Source organism: Homo sapiens, chromosome 3 (assembly GCF_000001405.40).
Source record: "Homo sapiens chromosome 3, GRCh38.p14 Primary Assembly".
Taxonomy (NCBI): domain Eukaryota; kingdom Metazoa; phylum Chordata; class Mammalia; order Primates; family Hominidae; genus Homo; species Homo sapiens.
In genome coordinates this window covers 101733442-101752041 of record NC_000003.12, presented here as the reverse complement: position 1 = coordinate 101752041, position 18600 = coordinate 101733442, and the positions used below count along the sequence as shown (strand labels likewise).

Sequence of the window (18600 nt, the reverse complement as noted above, 5' to 3'; positions counted from 1 at the left end):
AGGAACAAGCGATACCAGCCACTGCAAAATCATGCCAAATTGTAAAGACCATCAAGGCTAGGAAGCAAAATAAACAGCTAACATCATAATGACAGGATCAAATTCACACATAACAATATTAACTTTAAATGTAAATGGACTAAATGCTCCAATTAAAAGACACAGACTGGCAAATTGGATAAAAAGTCAAGACCCATCAGTGTGCTGTATTCAGGAAACCCATCTCACGTGCAGAGACACACATAGGCTCAAAATAAAAGGATGGAGGAAGATCTACCAAGCAAATGGAAAACAAAAAAAGGCAGGGGTTGCAATCCTAGTCTCCGATAAAACAGACTTTAACCAACAAAGATCAAAAGAGACAAAGAAGGTCATTACATAATGGTAAAGGGATCAATTCAACAAGAAGAGCTAACTATCCTAAATATATATGCACCAAATACAGGAGCACCCAGATTCATAAAGCAAGTCTTTAGTGACCTACAAAGAGACTTAGACTCCCACACAATAATAATGGGAGACTTTAACACCCCACTGTCAACATTAGACAGATCAACTAGACAGAAAGTTAACAAGCATACCCAGGAATTGAACTCAGCTCTGCACCAAGCGGACCTAATAGATATCTACAGAACTCTCCACCCCAAATCAAAAGAATATACATTTTTTTCAGCACCACACCACACCTATTCCAAAATTGACCACACAGTTAGAAGTAAAGCTCTCCTCAGCAAATGTAAAAGAACAGAAATTATAACAAACTGTCTCTCAGACCACAGTGCAATCAAACTAGAACTCAGGATTAAGAAACTCACTCAAAACCGCTCAACTACATGGTAACTGAACAACCTGCTCCAGATTGACTACTGGGTACATAACGAAATGAAGGCAGAAATAAAGATGTTCTTTGAAACCAACAAGAACAAAGACACAACATACCAGAATCTCTGGCACACATTCAAAGCAGTGTGTAGAGGGAAATTTATAGCACTAAATGCCCACAAGAGAAAGCAGGAAAGATCCAAAATTGACACCCTAACATCACAATTAAAAGAACTAGAAAAGCAAGAGCAAACACATTCAAAAGCTAGCAGAAGGCAAGAAATAACTAACATCAGAGCAGAACTGAAGGAAATAGAGACACAAAAAACCCTTCAAACAATTAATGAATCCAGGAGCTGGTTTTTTGAAAGGATCAACAAAATTGATAGACCACTACCAAGACTAATAAAGAAGAAAAGAGAGAAGAATCAAATAGACACAATAAAAAATGACAAAGGGGATATCACCACCGATCCTACAGAAATACAAACTACCATCAGAGAATACTACAAACACCTCTACGCAAATAAACTAGAAAATCAAGAAGAAATGGATAAATTCCTCGACACATACACCCTCCCAAGGCTAAACCAGGAAGAAGTTGAATCTCTGAACAGACCAATAACAGGCTCTGAAATTGTGGCAATAATCAATACCTTACCAACCAAAAAGAGTCCAGGACCAGATGGATTCACAGCCAAATTCTACCAGAGGTACAAGGAGGAACTGGTACCATTCCTTCTGAAACTATTCCAATCAATAGAAAAAGAGGGAACAAAGCTGGAGGCATCACACTACCTGACTTCAAACTATACTACAAGGCTACAGTAACCAAAACAGCATGGTACTGGTACCAAAACAGAGATATAGATCAATGGAACAGAACAGAGCCCTCAGAAATAACGCCGCATATCTACAACTATCTGATCTTTGACAAACCTGAGAAAAACAAGCAATGGGGAAAGGATTCCCTATTTAATAAATGGTGCTGGGAAAACTGGCTAGCCATATGTAGAAAGCTGAAACTGGATCCCTTCCTTACACCTTATACAAAAATCAATTCAAGATGGATTAAAGACTTAAACGTTAGACCTAAAACCATAAAAACCCTAGAAGAAAACCTAGGCATTACCATTCAGGACATAGGCATGGGCAAGGACTTCATGTCTAAACACCAAAAGCAATGGCAACAGAAGACAAAATTGACAAATGGGATCTCATTAAACTAAAGAGCTTCTGCACAGCAAAAGAAACTACCATCACAGTGAACAGGCAACCTACAAAATGGGAGAAAATTTTCACAACCTACTCATCTGACAAAGGGCTAATATCCAGAATCTACAATGAACTCAAACAAATTTACAAGAAAAAAACAAACAACCCCATCAAAAAGTGGGCAAAGGACATGAACAGACACTTCTCAAAAGAAGACATTTATGCAGCCAAAAAACACATGAAAAAATGCTCACCATCACTGGCCATCAGAGAAATGCAAATCAAAACCACAATGAGATACCACCTCACACCAGTTAGAATGGCAATCATTAAAAAGTCAGGAAACAACAGGTGCTGGAGAGGATGTGGAGAAATAGGAACACTTTTACACTGTTGGTGGGACTGTAAACTAGTTCAACCATTGTGGAAGTCAGTGTGGCGATTCCTCAGGAATCTAGAACTAGAAATACCATTTGACCCAGCCAACCCATTACTGGGTATATACCCAAAGGACTATAAATCATGCTGCTATAAAGACACATGCACACGTATGTTTATTGCAGCACTATTCACAATAGCAAAGACTTGGAACCAACCCAAATGTCCAACAATGATAGACTGGATTAAGAAAATGTGGCACATATACACCATGGAATACTATGCAGCCATAAAAAATGATGAGTTCATGTCCTTTGTAGGGACATGGATGAAATTGGAAATTATCATTCTCAGTAAACTATCACAAGGACAAAAATCCAAACACCGCATGTTCTCACTCATAGGTGGGAATTGAACAATGAGAACACATGGACACAGGAAGGGGACCATCACACTCTGGGGACTGTTGTGGGGTGGGGGGAGGGGGGAGGGATAGCATTAGGAGATATACCTAATGCTAAATGACGAGTTAATGGGTGCCGCACACCAGCATGGCACACGTATACATATGTAACTAACCTGCACGTTGTGCACATGTACCCTAAAACTTAAAGTATAATAACAATAAAATTTAACCAAAAAAGTTTAGTTTATTTAATAAAGATAATTAGAAGTATTCCTTCCATGGGCCGGGCGCAGTGGCTCACACCTGTAATCCCAGCACTTTGGGAGGCCGAGGTGGGCGGATCATGAGGTCAGGAGATTGAGACCATCCTGGCTAACACGGTGAAACCCCGTCTCTACTAAAAATACAAAAAATTAGCCAGGCGTGGTGGCATGCACCTGTAGTCCCAGCTACTCGGGAGACTGAGGCAGGAGAATGGTATGAACCCAGGAGGCGGAGCTTGCAGTAAGCCGAGATTGCGCCACTGCACTCCAGCCTGGGCAACAGAGTGAGACTCCATCTCAAAAGAAAAAGAAGTATTCTTCCATGGAAACATCCCTGTGGACTAAATCAAAATCATTTAGAATCTTCATGAAATCTGCTCTAAGTCTGCATACATTCTCCTGCCAAACAAATGGCATGTTGAAAGGTTGTACAAAAATAGGTCCAGAGTAGAAGACAATCGCCAACTTTAATATTTCTCAGCAAGCAATATTTCTAAGTTAGAGATGATCTGTACTTTGGGAAGACAGAAAACTGAAACTAAGAGGCTAGAAGAAAGGGCTCAAGTTTGAATATCCCACAGTTTAAGTTTTTGTGAAAAAAAACACAAACTGTAGATCGTCAACTGCTATAAGATCTGATTTTCCACTTTGCTTCACATGAATTCATCAATAAACTTATCCCTACACAAATTATATTAAATCCTACGTAAAAAAAAAACCAAAAACAAAAACTCCCTGTCAATTAAAATACCATTTTCAATTAAAAAAAAAATTAAGACTCATTCAGCTCTAACATATTAATCTTTTTTTTTTTTTTTTTTTTTTTTTGAGACAAGGTCTCTCTGCCACCCAGGCTGGAGTGCAATGGCACTATCATGGCTCACTGCAGCCTCAAACTGCTGGGCTCACTCAATCCTCCCACCTCAGCCTCCCAAGTAGCTGAAACTACAGGTATGCACCAGCATACCCAGCTAATTTTTTCATTTTTTATTTTTTTTTTAGAGATGGGGACTCACTATGCTGCCCAGTCTGGTCTTGAACTGCTGACTTCAAGTGATCCTCCTGTGTTGACCTTCCCAGGCACTAAGATTACAGGCATGAGCCACCATGCCTGGCCTCTAACATATTAATTTCAAGTCATTGCATTATGATTCCACTCTTGAAAGTGAAGGAACTGTTTACTTAAAACAAGAGAAGTAACAACTATTAAGAAAGGGAACTTAAAACAACCTGCTCTGTCTCTTTAAAAAAAAAAAAAATGTAATACCAGCTACTAGGGTGGCAGAGGCAGGAGAATTGCTTGAACCAAGGAGGCAGAGGTTGCAGTGAGCCGAGATCGCACCACTGCACTCCAGCCTGGGCAACAAGAGCGAAACTGTCTCAAAAAAAAAAAAAGGAAGGCCAGGCGCGGTGGCTCACGCCTGTAATCCCAAAACTTTGGGAGGCTGAGGTGGGCGGATCACAAGGTCAGGAGATCGAGACCATCCTGGCTAACACAGTGAAACCCCATCTCTACTAAAAACACAAAAAATTAGCCGGGCGTGGTGGCAGGCGCCTATAGTCCCAGCTACTCGGGAGGCTGAGGCAGGAGAATGGCCAGAATACGGGAGGCAGAGCTTGCAGTGAGCCGAGATCGTGCCACTGCACTCCAACCTGGGCGACAGAGTGAGATTCCGTCTCAAAAAAAAAAAAAAAAAAAGGAGTTCTGAATAAAAGGGTATCTGATATTTGCTTTTAAAATGCTCCAACAGCATGATTTATAGTCCTTTGGGTATATACCCAGTAATGGGATGGCTGGGTCAAATGTTATTTCTAGTTCTAGATTCCTGAGGAATCGCCACACTGACTTCCACAATGGTTGAACTAGTTTACAGTCCCACCAACAGTGTAAAAGTGTTCCTGTTTCTCCACATCCTCTCCAGCACCTGTTGTTTCCTGACTTTTTAATGATTGCCATTCTAACTGGTGTGAGATGGTATCTCATTGTGGTTTTGATTTGCATTTCTCTGATGGCCAGTGATGGTGAGCATTTTTTCATGTGTTTTTTGGCTGCATAAATGTCTTCTTTTGAGAAGTGTCTGTTCATGTCCTTTGCCCACTTTTTGATGGGGTTGTTTGTTTTTTTCTTGTAAATTTGTTTGAGTTCATTGTAGATTCTGGATATTAGCCCTTTGTCAGGTGAGTAGGTTGCAAAAATTTTCTCCCATTTTGTAGGTTGCCTGTTGACTCTGATGGTAGTTTCTTTTGCTGTGCAGAAGGTCTTTAGTTTAATGAGATCCCATTTGTCAATTTTATCTTTTGTTGCCATTGCTTTTGGTGTTTTAGACATGAAGTCCTTGCCCATGCCTATGTCCTGAATGGTAATGCCTAGGTTTTCTTCTAGGGTTTTTATGGTTTTAGGTCTAACGTTTAAGTCTTTAATCCATCTTGAATTGATTTTTGTATAAGGTGTAAGGAAGGGATCCAGTTTCAGCTTTCTACATATGGCTAGCCAGTTTTCCCAGCACCATTTATTAAATAGGGAATCCTTTCCCCATTGCTTGTTTTTCTCAGGTTTGTCAAAGATCAGATAGTTGTAGATATGCGGCGTTATTTCTGAGGGCTCTGTTCTGTTCCATTGATCTATATCTCTGTTTTGGTATCAGTACCATGCTGTTTTGGTTACTGTAGCCTTGTAGTATAGTTTAAAGTCAGGTAGTGTGATGCTATAAATCATGCTGCTATAAAGACACATGCACACATATGTTTATTGTGGCATTATTCACAATAGCAAAGACTTGGAACCAACCCAAATGTCCAACAATGATAGACTGGATTAAGAAAATGTGGCACATATACACCATGGAATACTATGCAGCCATAAAAAATAATGAGTTCATGTCCTTTGTAGGGACATGGATGAAATTGGAAATCATCATTTTCAGTAAACTATCACAAGAACAAAAAACCAAACACCGCATATTCTCACTCATAGGTGGGAATTGAACAATGAGAACACATGGACACAGGAAGGGGTACATTACACTCTGGGGACTGTTGTGGGGTGGGGGGAGCAGGGAGGGATAGCATTGGGAGATATACCTAATGCTAGATGATGAGTTAGTGGGTGTAGCACACCAGCATGGCACATGTATACATATGTAACTAACCTGCACATTGTGCACATGTACCCTAAAACTTAAAGTATAATAATAAATTTAAATAAATAAATAAATAAATAAAATTCAAAAAAATAAACAAAATAAAATATTCCAACAAAAAATGTGGAATGAAACAAGACTGGCAGAATATTGACAATTGTTGAAGCCGCATGGTGGGTACATAGATGTTCATTATGTTATTCTAACTTTGTATATATTTGAAATATCCCTTTAAAAAAAAAAAAGGATATTGGCTAGGTGCAGTGGCTTATATCTGTAATCCCAGCACTTTGGGAGGCTGAGGCGGGAGGATCCAATGAGCCCAGAAGTTCCAGACCCGACTGGGCAACATAGCAATAACCCATCTCTACAAAAAAGTTTAAAAAATGAGGCTAATTTTTTCTGGTGGCATGCATCTATTCCCAGCTACTCAGGAGGCTGAAGCAGAAGAATCGTTTGAGCCCGGGAGGTTGAGGCTGCAGTAAGCTGTGATCCTGTCACTGCATTCCAGCCTAGACAACAATGTGAGACCCCATCTCTGAAAATTAAAAAGAAAATATCTAGCACTAGGAATTTCAACTTAAATAATTTTAAAAAGGAATATTAACTTTCTCCAAGGTTCTGCTCCCATATGATCTCTAACTAAGCAATAGAGTTATAGCTTTGTGCAAGTTCCTGTCAATAGCAAAACAGAGATCTAAACACATTCAGAAAGAACTCCAAACACTGAGGTGCCACACAAAGATGCTTGTCTCTCCACAGGTACGCTTAACTCTGAGAAATGGCTCAGCCAAAGCACCACAAGGTTTGGTTACTGCTCAAGTTACTCTTTTGGGTAATACATACACTCAAATCAAGATCTAGCTACCTGATGTTATCAAAGAATCTAGGATACATTTCATAATGGAGAACTTTAACCTGGGTGTTCTTAGCAAATAACAACCAGGATGGGCAGACTTTAAAAACTGAAAATTCCTTCCTGTCCTTCAGGGCAATTCTCAATGTTGACCAGGAAAATATTTTCAGCACTGCTCAGGCCAAACACCGATTTTTAAGGCAATAGCTCTCCCTTAGAATAATGTCTTCTTCCTGAACACAATACTTCCAGAGTTGTTTTAAAGCATGGGAGCACTGTTGACAGACTACAACTGCAACATCATTTTGTCTCTAGCACGGCACCAACCATCTAAGTTCCTAGTTTGAGAGTAACTCTATCCTTTTTTTTTTTTTTTTTGAGACAGAGTTTTGCTCTTGTTGCCCAGGCTGGAGTGCAATGGTGCAATCTCAGCTCACTGCAACCTCCGCCTCCTGGGTTCAAGTGATTTTCCTGCCTCAGCCTCCCAAGTAGCTGGAATTACAGGCATGTGCTACCACACCCAGCTAATTTTGTATTTTTAGTAGAGACGGGGTTTCACCAAGTTGGTCAGGCTGGTCTTGAACTCCTGACCTCAGGTGATCCACCCACCTTGGCCTCCCAAAGTGCTAGGATTACAGGCATGAACCAATGTGCTGACCCTTTTTTTTTTCTTTTTTTGAGAACTCTATCCATTCCTGTATAGGCTGATGTGCTATTATGAATAGGGCTGCTGTGAAAATGCATGTACATGTCTTTTGGGAGACCTAAGTAGCTATTTCTATACAGTATACATGTGAAGTAAAATTGCTGGGTAACAAAGTATATATGTACATTTAGCTTCAGTAGATACTTCTAGTTTTTCAAAGTAGTTGTACCATTTATCGTCCCCTAGAGTGGTTTATGAGCATTCCAATTGCACCACATCCTTAGTATTATCAGTCTTTTTTTTTTTTTTTTGAGACGGAGTTTCACTCTTGTTGCCCAGGCTAGAGTTCAATGGCACGATCTCAGCTCACCGTAACCTCTGCCTCTCGGATTCAAGTGATTCTCCTGCCTCAGCCTCCCAAGTAGCTGGGATTATAGGCACGCGCGACCATACCCAGCTAATTTTTTTGTATTTTTAATAGAGCGGGGTTTCTCTGTATTGGTCAGGCTGGTCTCAAACTCCCGACCTCAGTGATCCTCCCGCCTTGGCCTCCCAAAGTGCTAGGATTACAGGCGTGAGCCACTGCACCTGGCCATCAGTCTTTTAATTCTGGTTATTCTAGCTGGGTGCAGTGGCTCAAATGTATAATCCCAGCATTTTGGGAGGCTGAGGTAAGAGGACTGCTCTAGCCCAGGAATTCAAGACCAGCCCGGGCAACACAGCAAAACCTTATCTGAACTAAAAATTTAAAAATGAGCTGGGCACAGTGGTGTGTGCCTATAGTCCCAGCTACTTGGAAGGCTGAGACAGGACGGTCCCTTCAGCGTAGGAGGCGGAGGTTACAATGAGCTATGATCATGCCACTGCACTCTAGCCTGGGAAACAGAGCAACACTCTGTCTTCAAAAAATATATATATATTTTTTCTAGGAGAAACTGGTTGAAGATGCCATAATAACCAGGAAAAAAAAAATTTCTAAATTATTAAAAAGTTACCATAAAGTTACTTCTAGTGAGGAGGGGAGTTACGACCAGAGGGAAACAAAGGGGATCTCTAGATGCTGGTTGTATTTTTTTTTTTCCCACTTTGTTGCCCAGGCTGGAGTACAGTGGTGCAATTTCATCTCACTGCAACATCTGCCTCCCTGGCTCAAGCAATCCTCCCACTTCAGCCTCCTGAGTAGCTGGGACTACAGGCACACACCACCACACCCAGCAAATTTTTTGTATTTTTTTGTAGAGACAGGGTTTCACCATATTGCCCAGACTGGTCTCAAACTCCTGGGCTCAAGCAATCCACCCACCTTGGCCTCCCAAGTAATGGGACTACAAGTGTGAGCCACCACGTGCGGCCATGCTCTCTTCCTGTTCTCTGAAGTGATTATAAGGATATTTTAAAATATTATTTTAAAACTGTATCTTAATTATGTGATACTTTTACAATTCTTTATTTATTTATTTATTTTTTTGAGATGGAGTCTCGCTCTGTACTTCTACAATTCTTAAAAATGTGTCTGGAAAAAAATTTGCTATTGAGCTACCCTCCCATCTCTTCCTTCTTCCCACACTTTTTTTTTTTTTTTAAATACTTTAAGTTCTGGGATACTTGTGCAGAATGTGCAGGTTTATTACATAGGTATACGCATGCCATGGTGGTTTGCTGCACCCAGCAACTCGTCACCTACATTAGGTATTTCTCCTAATGCTATCACTCCCCTAGCCCCCACCCAACAGGCCCTGGTGTGTGATGTTCCCCTCCCTGTGTCTATGTGTTCTCATTGTTCAACTCCCACTTATGAGTGAGAACATGCAGGTGTTTGGTTTTCTGTTCCTGTGTTAGTTTGCTAAGAATGATGGTTTCCAGCTTCATCCATGTCTCTGCAAAGGACATGAACTGATCCATTTTTATGGCTCCATAGTATTATTCCATGGTGTATATGTGCCACATTTTCTTTATCCAGTCTATCATTGATGGGCATTTGGATTGGTTCCAAGTCTTTGCTATTGTGAAAAGTGCCACAATAAACATACATGTGCATGTGTCCTTATAGTAGAATGATTTATAATCCTTTGGGTATATACTCGGTAATGGGATTGCTGAGTCAGATGGTATTTCTGGTTCTAGGTCCTTGAGGAATTGCCACACTGTCTTCCACAATAATTGAACTTACACTCCCACCAACAGTATAAAAGTGTTCCTATTTCTTAACATCCTCTCCAGCATCTGTTGTTTCCTGTTTTTTTTGTTTTTTTGTTTTTTTGTTTTTTTTTTTTTGAGACGGAGTCTCACTCTGTCACCCAGGCTGGAGTGCAATGGCACAATCTCAGCTCACTGCAACCTCCACCTCCTGGGCTCAAGCGACTCTCCTGCCTCAGCCCCCTGAGTAGCTGGGATTACAGGTGCGCGCCACCACACCTGGCTAATTTTTTTCTATTTTTAGTAGAGATGGGGTTTCACCATGTTGGTCAGGCTGGTCTCGAACTTCTGACCTCGTGATCCACCTGCCTCGGACTCCCAAAGTGCTGGGATTACAGGCGTGAGCCACCATGCCCAGCCTGTTTCCTGACTTTTTAATGATCACCATTCTAACTGGCATGAGATGGTATCTCATTGTGGTTTTGATTTGCATTTCTCTAATGACCAGTGATGATGAGCTTTTTTTCATATGATTGTTGGCCGCATAAATGTCTTCTTTTGAGAAATATCTGTTCATATCCTTTGCCCACTTTTTGATGGGTTTTTTTCTTTTAAATTTGTTTAAGTTCTTTGTAGATTCTGGATATTGGTCCTTTGACAGATGGATAGATTGCAAAAATTTTCTCCCATTCTGTAGGTTGCCTGTTCACTTTGATGATAGTTTCTTTTGCTGTGCAGAAGCTCTTTAGTTTAATTAGATCCTATGTGTCAATTTTGGCTTTTGTTGCCATTGCTTTTGATGTTTTAGTCATGAAGTCTTTGCCCATGCCTATGTCCTGAATGGAATTGTCTTGGTTTTCTTTCAGGGTTTTTACAGTTTTAGGTCTTACATTTAAGTCTTTAATCCATCTTGAGTTAATTTTTGTATAAGGTGTATGGAAGGGGTCCAATTTCAGTTTTCTGCATATGGCTAGCCAGTTTTCCCAACACCATTTATTAAATAAGGAATCCTTTCCCCATTGCTTGCAGGTTTGTCAAAGATCAGAGGGTTGTAGATGTGTGGTGTTATTTCTGAGGCGTCTGTTCTGTTCCATTTGTCTATATAACTGTTTTGGTACCAGTACTACACTGTTTTGGTTACTGTAGCCTTGTAGTGTAGTTTGAAGTCAGGTAGCGTGATACTTCCAGCTTTGTTCTTTTTGCTTAGGATTGTCTTGGCTATACAGGCTCTTTCTTGGTTCCATATGCAATTTCAAGTATTTTTTTCTAATTCTGTGAAGAAAGTCAATGGGACCGGGTGCGCTGGCTCACGCCTGTAATCCCAACACTTTGGGAGGCCGAGGCGGGTGGATCACCTGAGGTAGGGAGTTCAAGACCAGTCTGACCAACATGGAGAAACCCCATCTCTACTAAAAATACAAAATTAGCCAGGCGTGGTGGCGCATGCCTGTAATCCCAGCTACTAGGGAGGCTGAGGCAGGAGAATCGCTTGAACCCACGAGGTGGAGGTTGTAGTGAGCCGAGATCATGCCATTGCACTCCAGCCTGGGCAACAAGAGCAAAACTCCGTCTCAAAAAAAAAAAAAGAAAGTCAATGGTAGCTTGATGAGGATAGCACTGAATCTATACATTACTTTGGGCAGTATGGCCATTTTCACAATATTGATTCTTCCTATGCATGAGCATGGAATGTTTTTCCATTTGTTTGTGTCCTCTCTTATTTCCTTGAGCACTGGTTTGTAGTTCTCCTTGAAGAGGTCCTTTACATCCCTTGTAAGTTGTATTCCTAGGTATTTTAGTCTCTTTGCAGCAATTGTGAATGGAAGTTCACTCATGATTAGGCTCTCTATTATGTTGTATAGGAATGCTTGTGATTTTTGCACATTGATTTTGTATCCTGAGACTTTGCTGAAGTTGCTTATCAGCTTAAGGAGATTTTGGGCTGGAACAATGGGGTTTTCCAAATATACAATCATGTCATCTGCAAACAGAGACAATTTGACTTCCTCTCTTCCTATCTGAATACCCTTTATTTCTTTCTCTTGCCTGATTGCCTTGGCCAAAACTTCCAATACTATGTTGAATAGGAGTGGTAAGAGAGGGCATCCCTGTCTTGTGCCAGTTTTCAAAGGGAATGCTTCCAGCTTTTGCCCATTCAGTATGATATTGGCTGTGGGTTTGTCATAAATAGCTCTTATTATTTTGAGATATGTTCCATCAATACCTAGTTTATTGAGAGTTTTTAGCATGAAGGGGTGCTGATTTTTTTTTTTTTTAGATGGTGTCTTGCTCTGTCACCCAGGTTGGAGTGCAGTGGTGTGATCTCAGCTCACTGCAAACTACGCCTCCCGGGTTCAAGCAATTCTCTGCCTCAGCCTCCTGAGTAACTGGGATTACAAGTGCCCACCACCACCTCTGGCTAATTTTTATATTTTTAGTAGAGACGGGGTTTTACCATTTTGGCCAGGCCGGTCTTTAACGTCTGACCTCATGATCCACCCACCTCGGCCTCCCAAAGTGCTGGGATTACAGTCGTGAGCCACTGCGCCCCGCCAGGGGTGTTGAATTTTATTGAAGGCCTTTTCTGCATCTATTGAGATAATCATGTGGTTTTTATCATTGGTTCTGTTTATGTGATGGATTATGTTTATTGATTTGCATATGATGAACCAGCCTTGCATCCCAGGGATGAAGCCGATTTGATCGTGGTGGATAAGCTTTTTGATGTGCTGCTGGATTCGGTTAGCCAGTATTTTATTGAGGACTTTTGCATTAATGTTCATCAGGGATACTGGCCTGAAATTTTCCTTTTTGTGTGTGTGTCTCTGCCAGGTTTTGGTATCAGGATGTTGCTGACCTCATAAATGAGTTAGGGAGGAGTCCCTCTTTTTCTTTTGTTTGGAATAGTTTCAGAAGGAATAGTACCAGCTCCTCTTTGTACCTCTGGCAGAATTCAGCTGTGAATCCGTCTGGTCCTGGGCTTCTTTTGGCTGGTAGGCTATTAACTACTGCCTCAATATCAGAACTTGTTATTGATCTATTCAGGGCTCTGACTTCTTCCTGGTTTAGTCTTGGGTGGGTGTATGTGTCCAGAAATGTATTGATTTCTTCTAGATTTCTAGTTTATTTGTGTAGAGGTGTTTATTCTCTGATGGTAGTTTGTATTTCTATGGGATCAACGGTGATATGCTCTTTATCATTTTTTATTGTGTCTATTTGATTCTTCTCTCTTTTCTTATTAGTCTGGTTAGCAGTCTATTTTGTTGATCTTTTCAAAAAACCAGCTCCTGAATTCATTGATTTTTTGAAGGGTTTTTTGTGTCTCTATCTCCTTCAGTTCTGCTCTGATATTTGTTATTTCTTGTTTTCTGCTAGCTTTGAATTTGTTTGTTCTTCCTTCTCTAGTTCTTTTAATTGTTATGTTACGGTGTTAATTTTAGATCTTTCCTCCTTTCTCCTGTGGGCTTTTGGTGCTATAAATTTCCCTCTACACACTGCTTTAAATGTGTACCAGAGATTCTGGGATGTTGTGTCTTTGTTCTCATTGGTTTCAAAAAACTTAATTTCTGCTGTAATTTCGTTATGTACCCAGTAGTTATTCAGGAGGAGGTTGTTCAGTTTCCGTGTAGTTGGGCGGTTTTAAGTTTCTTAATCTTGAGTTCTAATTTGATTGCACTGTGGTCTGAGAGACTGTTATAATTTCTGTTCTTTTACATTTGCTCAGGAGTGTTTTATTTCCAATTATGTGGTCAATTTTAGAATAAGTGTGATGTGGTGTTGAAAAGAATGTATATTCTGTTGATTTGGTGTGGAGAGTTCTGTAGATATCTATTAGGTCTGCTTGGTCCAGAGCTGACGTCAAGTCCTAAATACCCTTGTTAATTTTCTGTCTTGTTGATCTAATTTTGACAGTGGGGTGTTAAAGTCTCCCACTATTATTGTGTGGGAGTCTAAGTCTCTTTGTAAGTCTCCAAGAACTTGCTTTATGAATCTGGGTGCTCCTGTATTGGGTGCAAATATATTTAGGATAGTTAGCTCTTCTTGTTCCATTGATCCCTTTACCATTATGTAATGCCCTTCTTTGTCTTTTTGATATATGTTGGTTTAAAGTCTGTTTTATCAGAGACTATGATTGTAACCCCTGCTTTTTTTTTTTTTTTTTTTTTTTGCTTTCCATTTGTTTGGTAAATATTCCTCCATCCCTTTGAATCTATGTGTGTCTTTACATGTGAGATGCATCTCCTGAGTGCAGCACACCAATGGTTCTTGATTCTTTATCCAATTTGCCAGTCTATGTCTTTTAATTGGGCTAATAGCCCATTTACATTTAAGGTTAATATTGTTATGTGTGAATTTGATCCTGTCATTTTGATGCTAGCTGGTTATTTCACTCGTTAGTTGATGCAGTTTCTTCGTAGTGTTGATGATCTTTACAATTTGGTATGTTTTTGCAGTGGCTAGTACTGGTTTTTCCTTTCCATGTTTAGTGCTTCCTTCAGTGGTTCTTGTAAGGCAGGCCTGGTGGTAACAAAATCTCTCAGCCTTTGCTTGTGTGTAAAGGATTTTATTTCTCCTTCACTTATGAAGCTTAGTTTGGCTGGATATGAAATTCTGGGTTGAAAATTCTTCTCTTTAAGAATGTTGAATATCGGCCCCCACTCTCTTCTGGCTTGTGGGGTTTCTGCAGAGAGACCTGCTGTTAAGTCTGATGGGCTTCCCTTTGTAACTTGACTTTACTCACTGGTTGCCCTTAACATTTTTTCCTTCATTTCAACTTTGGCGAATCTGGCAATTATGTGTCTTGGGGTTGCTCTTCTCGAGGAGTATCTTTGTGGTGTTCTCTTTATTTCCTGAATTTGAATGTTGGCCTGTCTTGCTAGGTTGGGGACGTTCTCCTGGATAATATCCTGAAGAGTGTTTCCTAACTTGGTTCCATTCTCCCTGTCACTTTCAGGTACACCAATAAAACGTTAAGTTTGGTCTTTTCACATAATCCCATATTTCTTGGAGGCTTTCTTCATTCCTTTTCATTCTTTTTTCTCCAATCTTGTCTTCACAGTTTATTTCATTAAGTTGATCTTCAATCTCTGATATCCTTGCTTCCTTTTGATCAAATCGACTATTGATACTTGTGTATGCTTCACAAAGTTCTCGTGCTGTGTTTTGCAGCTCCATCAGGTCATTTATGTTCTCTCTAAACTGGTTATTCTAGTTAGCAATTCCTCTAACCTTTGTTCAAGGTTCTTAGCTTCCTTGCATTGGGTTAGAATATGCTCCTTTAGCTCAACGGAGTTTGTTATTATTCTGAAGCCTACTTCTGTCAATTTGTGAAACTCATTCTCTGTCCAGTTTTGTTCTTTTGCTGGCAAGCAGTTGTGATCCTTTGCGGGAGAAGAAGCACTCTGGTTTTTGGAATTTTCAGCCTTTTTGCACTGGTTTTTCCTCATCTTCGTGGATTTATCTACTATTGGTCTTTGATGTTGGTGACCTTCAGATGGGGTTTCTGTGTGGATGTCCTTTTTGTTGATGTTGATGCTATTCCTTTCTGTTTGTTAGTTTTCCTTCTAACAGTCATGCCCCTCTGCTGCAGGTCTGCTGGAGTTTGCTGGACATCCACTACCTGTTTTCCTGGCTATCAACAGCAGAGGCTGCAGAACAGCAAAGATTGCTGCCTGTTCCTTCCTCTGGAAGCTTCATCCTAGAGGGGCACTCACCAAATGCCAGCCGGAGTTCTCCTATATGAGGTGTCTGTCAACCGTTGCTGGGAGATGTCTCCCAGTCAGGAGACACGGGGATCAGGGACCCACTTGAGGAGACAGTCTGTCCCTTAGCAGAGCTCAAGGGCTGTGTTGGGAGATCCATCGCTCTCTTACAGAGCCGGGAGGCAGGAACATTTAAGCCTGCTGAAGCTGCACCTACAGCTGCCCCTTCCCCCAGGTGCTCTGTCCCTGGGAGATGCGGAGTTTTATCTATAAGCCCCCTGACTGGGGCTGCTGCCTTTCTTTCAGAGATGTCCTGCCCAGAGAGGAGGAATCTAGAGAAGCAGTCCGGCTACAGCAGCTTTGCTGAGCTGCAGTGGGCTCTGCCCAGTTTGAACTTGCGGGAGATTTTGTTTACACTGTGAGGGGAAAACCACCTATTCGCACCTCGGTAAAGGCAGATGCCCCTCCCCCGACAAGCTCGAGCATCCCAGGTCGACTTCAGACTGCTGTACTGGCAGCAAGAATTTCAACCCTGTGTATCTTAGCTTGCTGGGCTCTGTGGGGCTGGGATCCTCTGCGCTAGACCACTTGGCTTGCTGGCTTCAGCCCCCTTTCCAGAGGAGTGAACGGTTCTGTCTCACTGGTGTTCCAGGCGCCACTGGGATATGAAAAAAACTCCTACAGCTAGCTTGGTGTCTGCCCAACGGCCACCCACTTTTGTGCTTGAAACCCAGGGCCCTGGTGGCGTAGGCACTGGAGGGAATCTCCTGGTGTGTGGGGTTGTGAAGACCATGGGAAAAGCGTAGTTTCTGGGCCAGAGTACACTGTTCCTCCCAGCACAGTCCCTCACGGCTTCCCCAGGCTAGGGGAGGGAGTTCCCTGACCCCTTGCACTTCCCGGGTGAGGCAACGCCACACCCTGCTTCTGCTCACCCTCTGTGGGCTGCACCCACTGTCTAACTAGTCCCAGTGAGATGAGCCACGTACCTCAGGTGGAAATGTAGAAATCACCCGCCTTCTGTGCTAATCTCACTGGGAGCTGCAGACCAGAGCTGTTGCTATTCAGCCATCTTGCCAGCCACCCCCCCACACACTTCTTTAGTGCAGGACAACCCCAGAGAGAGAGGCTACCCCAAGTGGGAGCCCACTCTTCCCTATCTCCTGAAGTCTCTGAAATTAAATGTTTGCAAAGCATTATGGAGAAAGCTCAAAAAATATTCAAATTCACCTTAAAGTCACTTGGAATAAAACCATTTCCACAGTATAGAAACACAGACTTTTTTATCATTATTTATCCAATCAACAAATATTTTCTGTCTTGACACTCTCTTTAGTTTCAACAAACTCTTCAACCTTTAGTCTCTATCCTTATATAATATCATTTATTAAGCACCTACTATATGACCAGTCCTATGTTCTATACATCATCCTTAATCCTACCATCCATGAAAGCAAGGTAGTACCGCTATTCACATTTTACAGATGAGGAAACTTAGCCTCAGAAAAGCCCTAAGGAACTTGACAAGGCCACACAGCTAATAGATAGCAGAGAAAAAAGTGAAGCCTTCCCCTGTCTATCGTAAGCAGGTCTCATCTCTCTTTGTGGGTCTCTCTTTACACCAAACCTTTATCTCTGCCCACATCACCATGCTGCCTCTCAGACATGAAAATGTTGCCAGTCCTACTCCCACAGAAGAAGTCAACAACTGTACAGAGGATTATCCAAGTAAACCCATATTCCAAATCTAGAACTAGTCACAGTTTGAAACAAAATAAGGTTTATTCTCAGAGCAACATTCACAGCAGGAAAAAGAAAAGCCACCCTTTCCTGTAGGCAAACTAGACCTGACATATGTCCCTCACCCTACACCAGCACCACCACTATCTAGCTCTTGGCTGCCATTCCTCACGGCCCTGTGCTTTACTCAGAAACTATACAAAACAGCAGAGAGACAGAGAAGGGAGACGCTGTCTGTAATCTACCACCCGTCCTCCCATCAGGAAACTCCTGAAGTAACTACTGTCTGTAGTAGAGAAGAACAAAAAAAGGCGAGGGATAATGTATGTGTTGAGTCCATAATGCATGTGTGTATGTACTGAGAGAAAAAAGTTAAATGAAGCATAGTAGACAGAATAAAGTCATCTCAACTCTCACTATCCCAATTCCACTCCCTCCTTCCCATATCCTAGTTCCTTACCTCCCCTAAAGCTCTCATTCCACTGATCAGGTATCAGGGTCCAGAAGACTCCATTCTGCAGGGATCCCAGCTCCAAGCCACAGAAACTATTAATGATTTACAGGTGGGGGAATTCTTGCTTCTGCTGCTTCACAGGTATAAGAAGGGGAGAACCTGGCCAGGTGCAGTGGCTCATGCCTGTAATCCCAACACTTTGGGAGGCCGAGGCGGGCGCATCACCTGAGGTCAGGAGTTTGAGACCAGCCTAAACAACATGGAAAAACCCTGCCTCCACTAAAAATACAAAATTAGCTGGGTGTGGTGGCACATGCCTATAATTCCAGCTACTTGGGAGGCTGAGGCAGAAGAATCGCTTGAACCCAGGAGGTGGAGGTTGTGATGAGCAGAGATCGCGCCATTGCACTCCAGCCTGGGCAACAAGAGTGAAACTCAGTCTCAAAAAAAATAAAAAGGCTGGGCGCGGTGGCTCACGCCTGTAATCCCAGCACTTTGGGAGGCCGAGGCGGGTGGATCACGAGGTCAGGAGATCGAGACCATACCGGCTAAAACGGTGAAACCCCGTCTCTACTAAAAATACAAAAAATTAGCCGGGCGTAGTGGCGGGCGCCTGTAGTCCCAGCTACTCGGGAGGCTGAGGCAGGAGAATGGCGTGAACCCGGGAGGCGGAGCTTGCAGTGAGCCGAGATCCCGCCACTGCACTCCAGTCTGGGCGACAGAGCGAGACTCCGTCTCAAAAAAAAATAAAAAATAAAAAAATAAAAAAAAAAGAAGAGGAGGACCAATCACCACATCTGCTACTAGTTCCAAATTAAAACTCTGCATTTTCCCAGAGTTATCAT

The 18600-nt window shown here is 41.8% G+C and overlaps 1 protein-coding gene across 5 annotated transcripts in view; it reads right to left on the bottom strand.

Moving 5' to 3' along the window:
* The window catches only part of CEP97 (centrosomal protein 97), a 45949-nt gene that overhangs the window by 18521 nt on the left and 8828 nt on the right, over positions 1–18600 (bottom strand). The window lies entirely within an intron of this gene.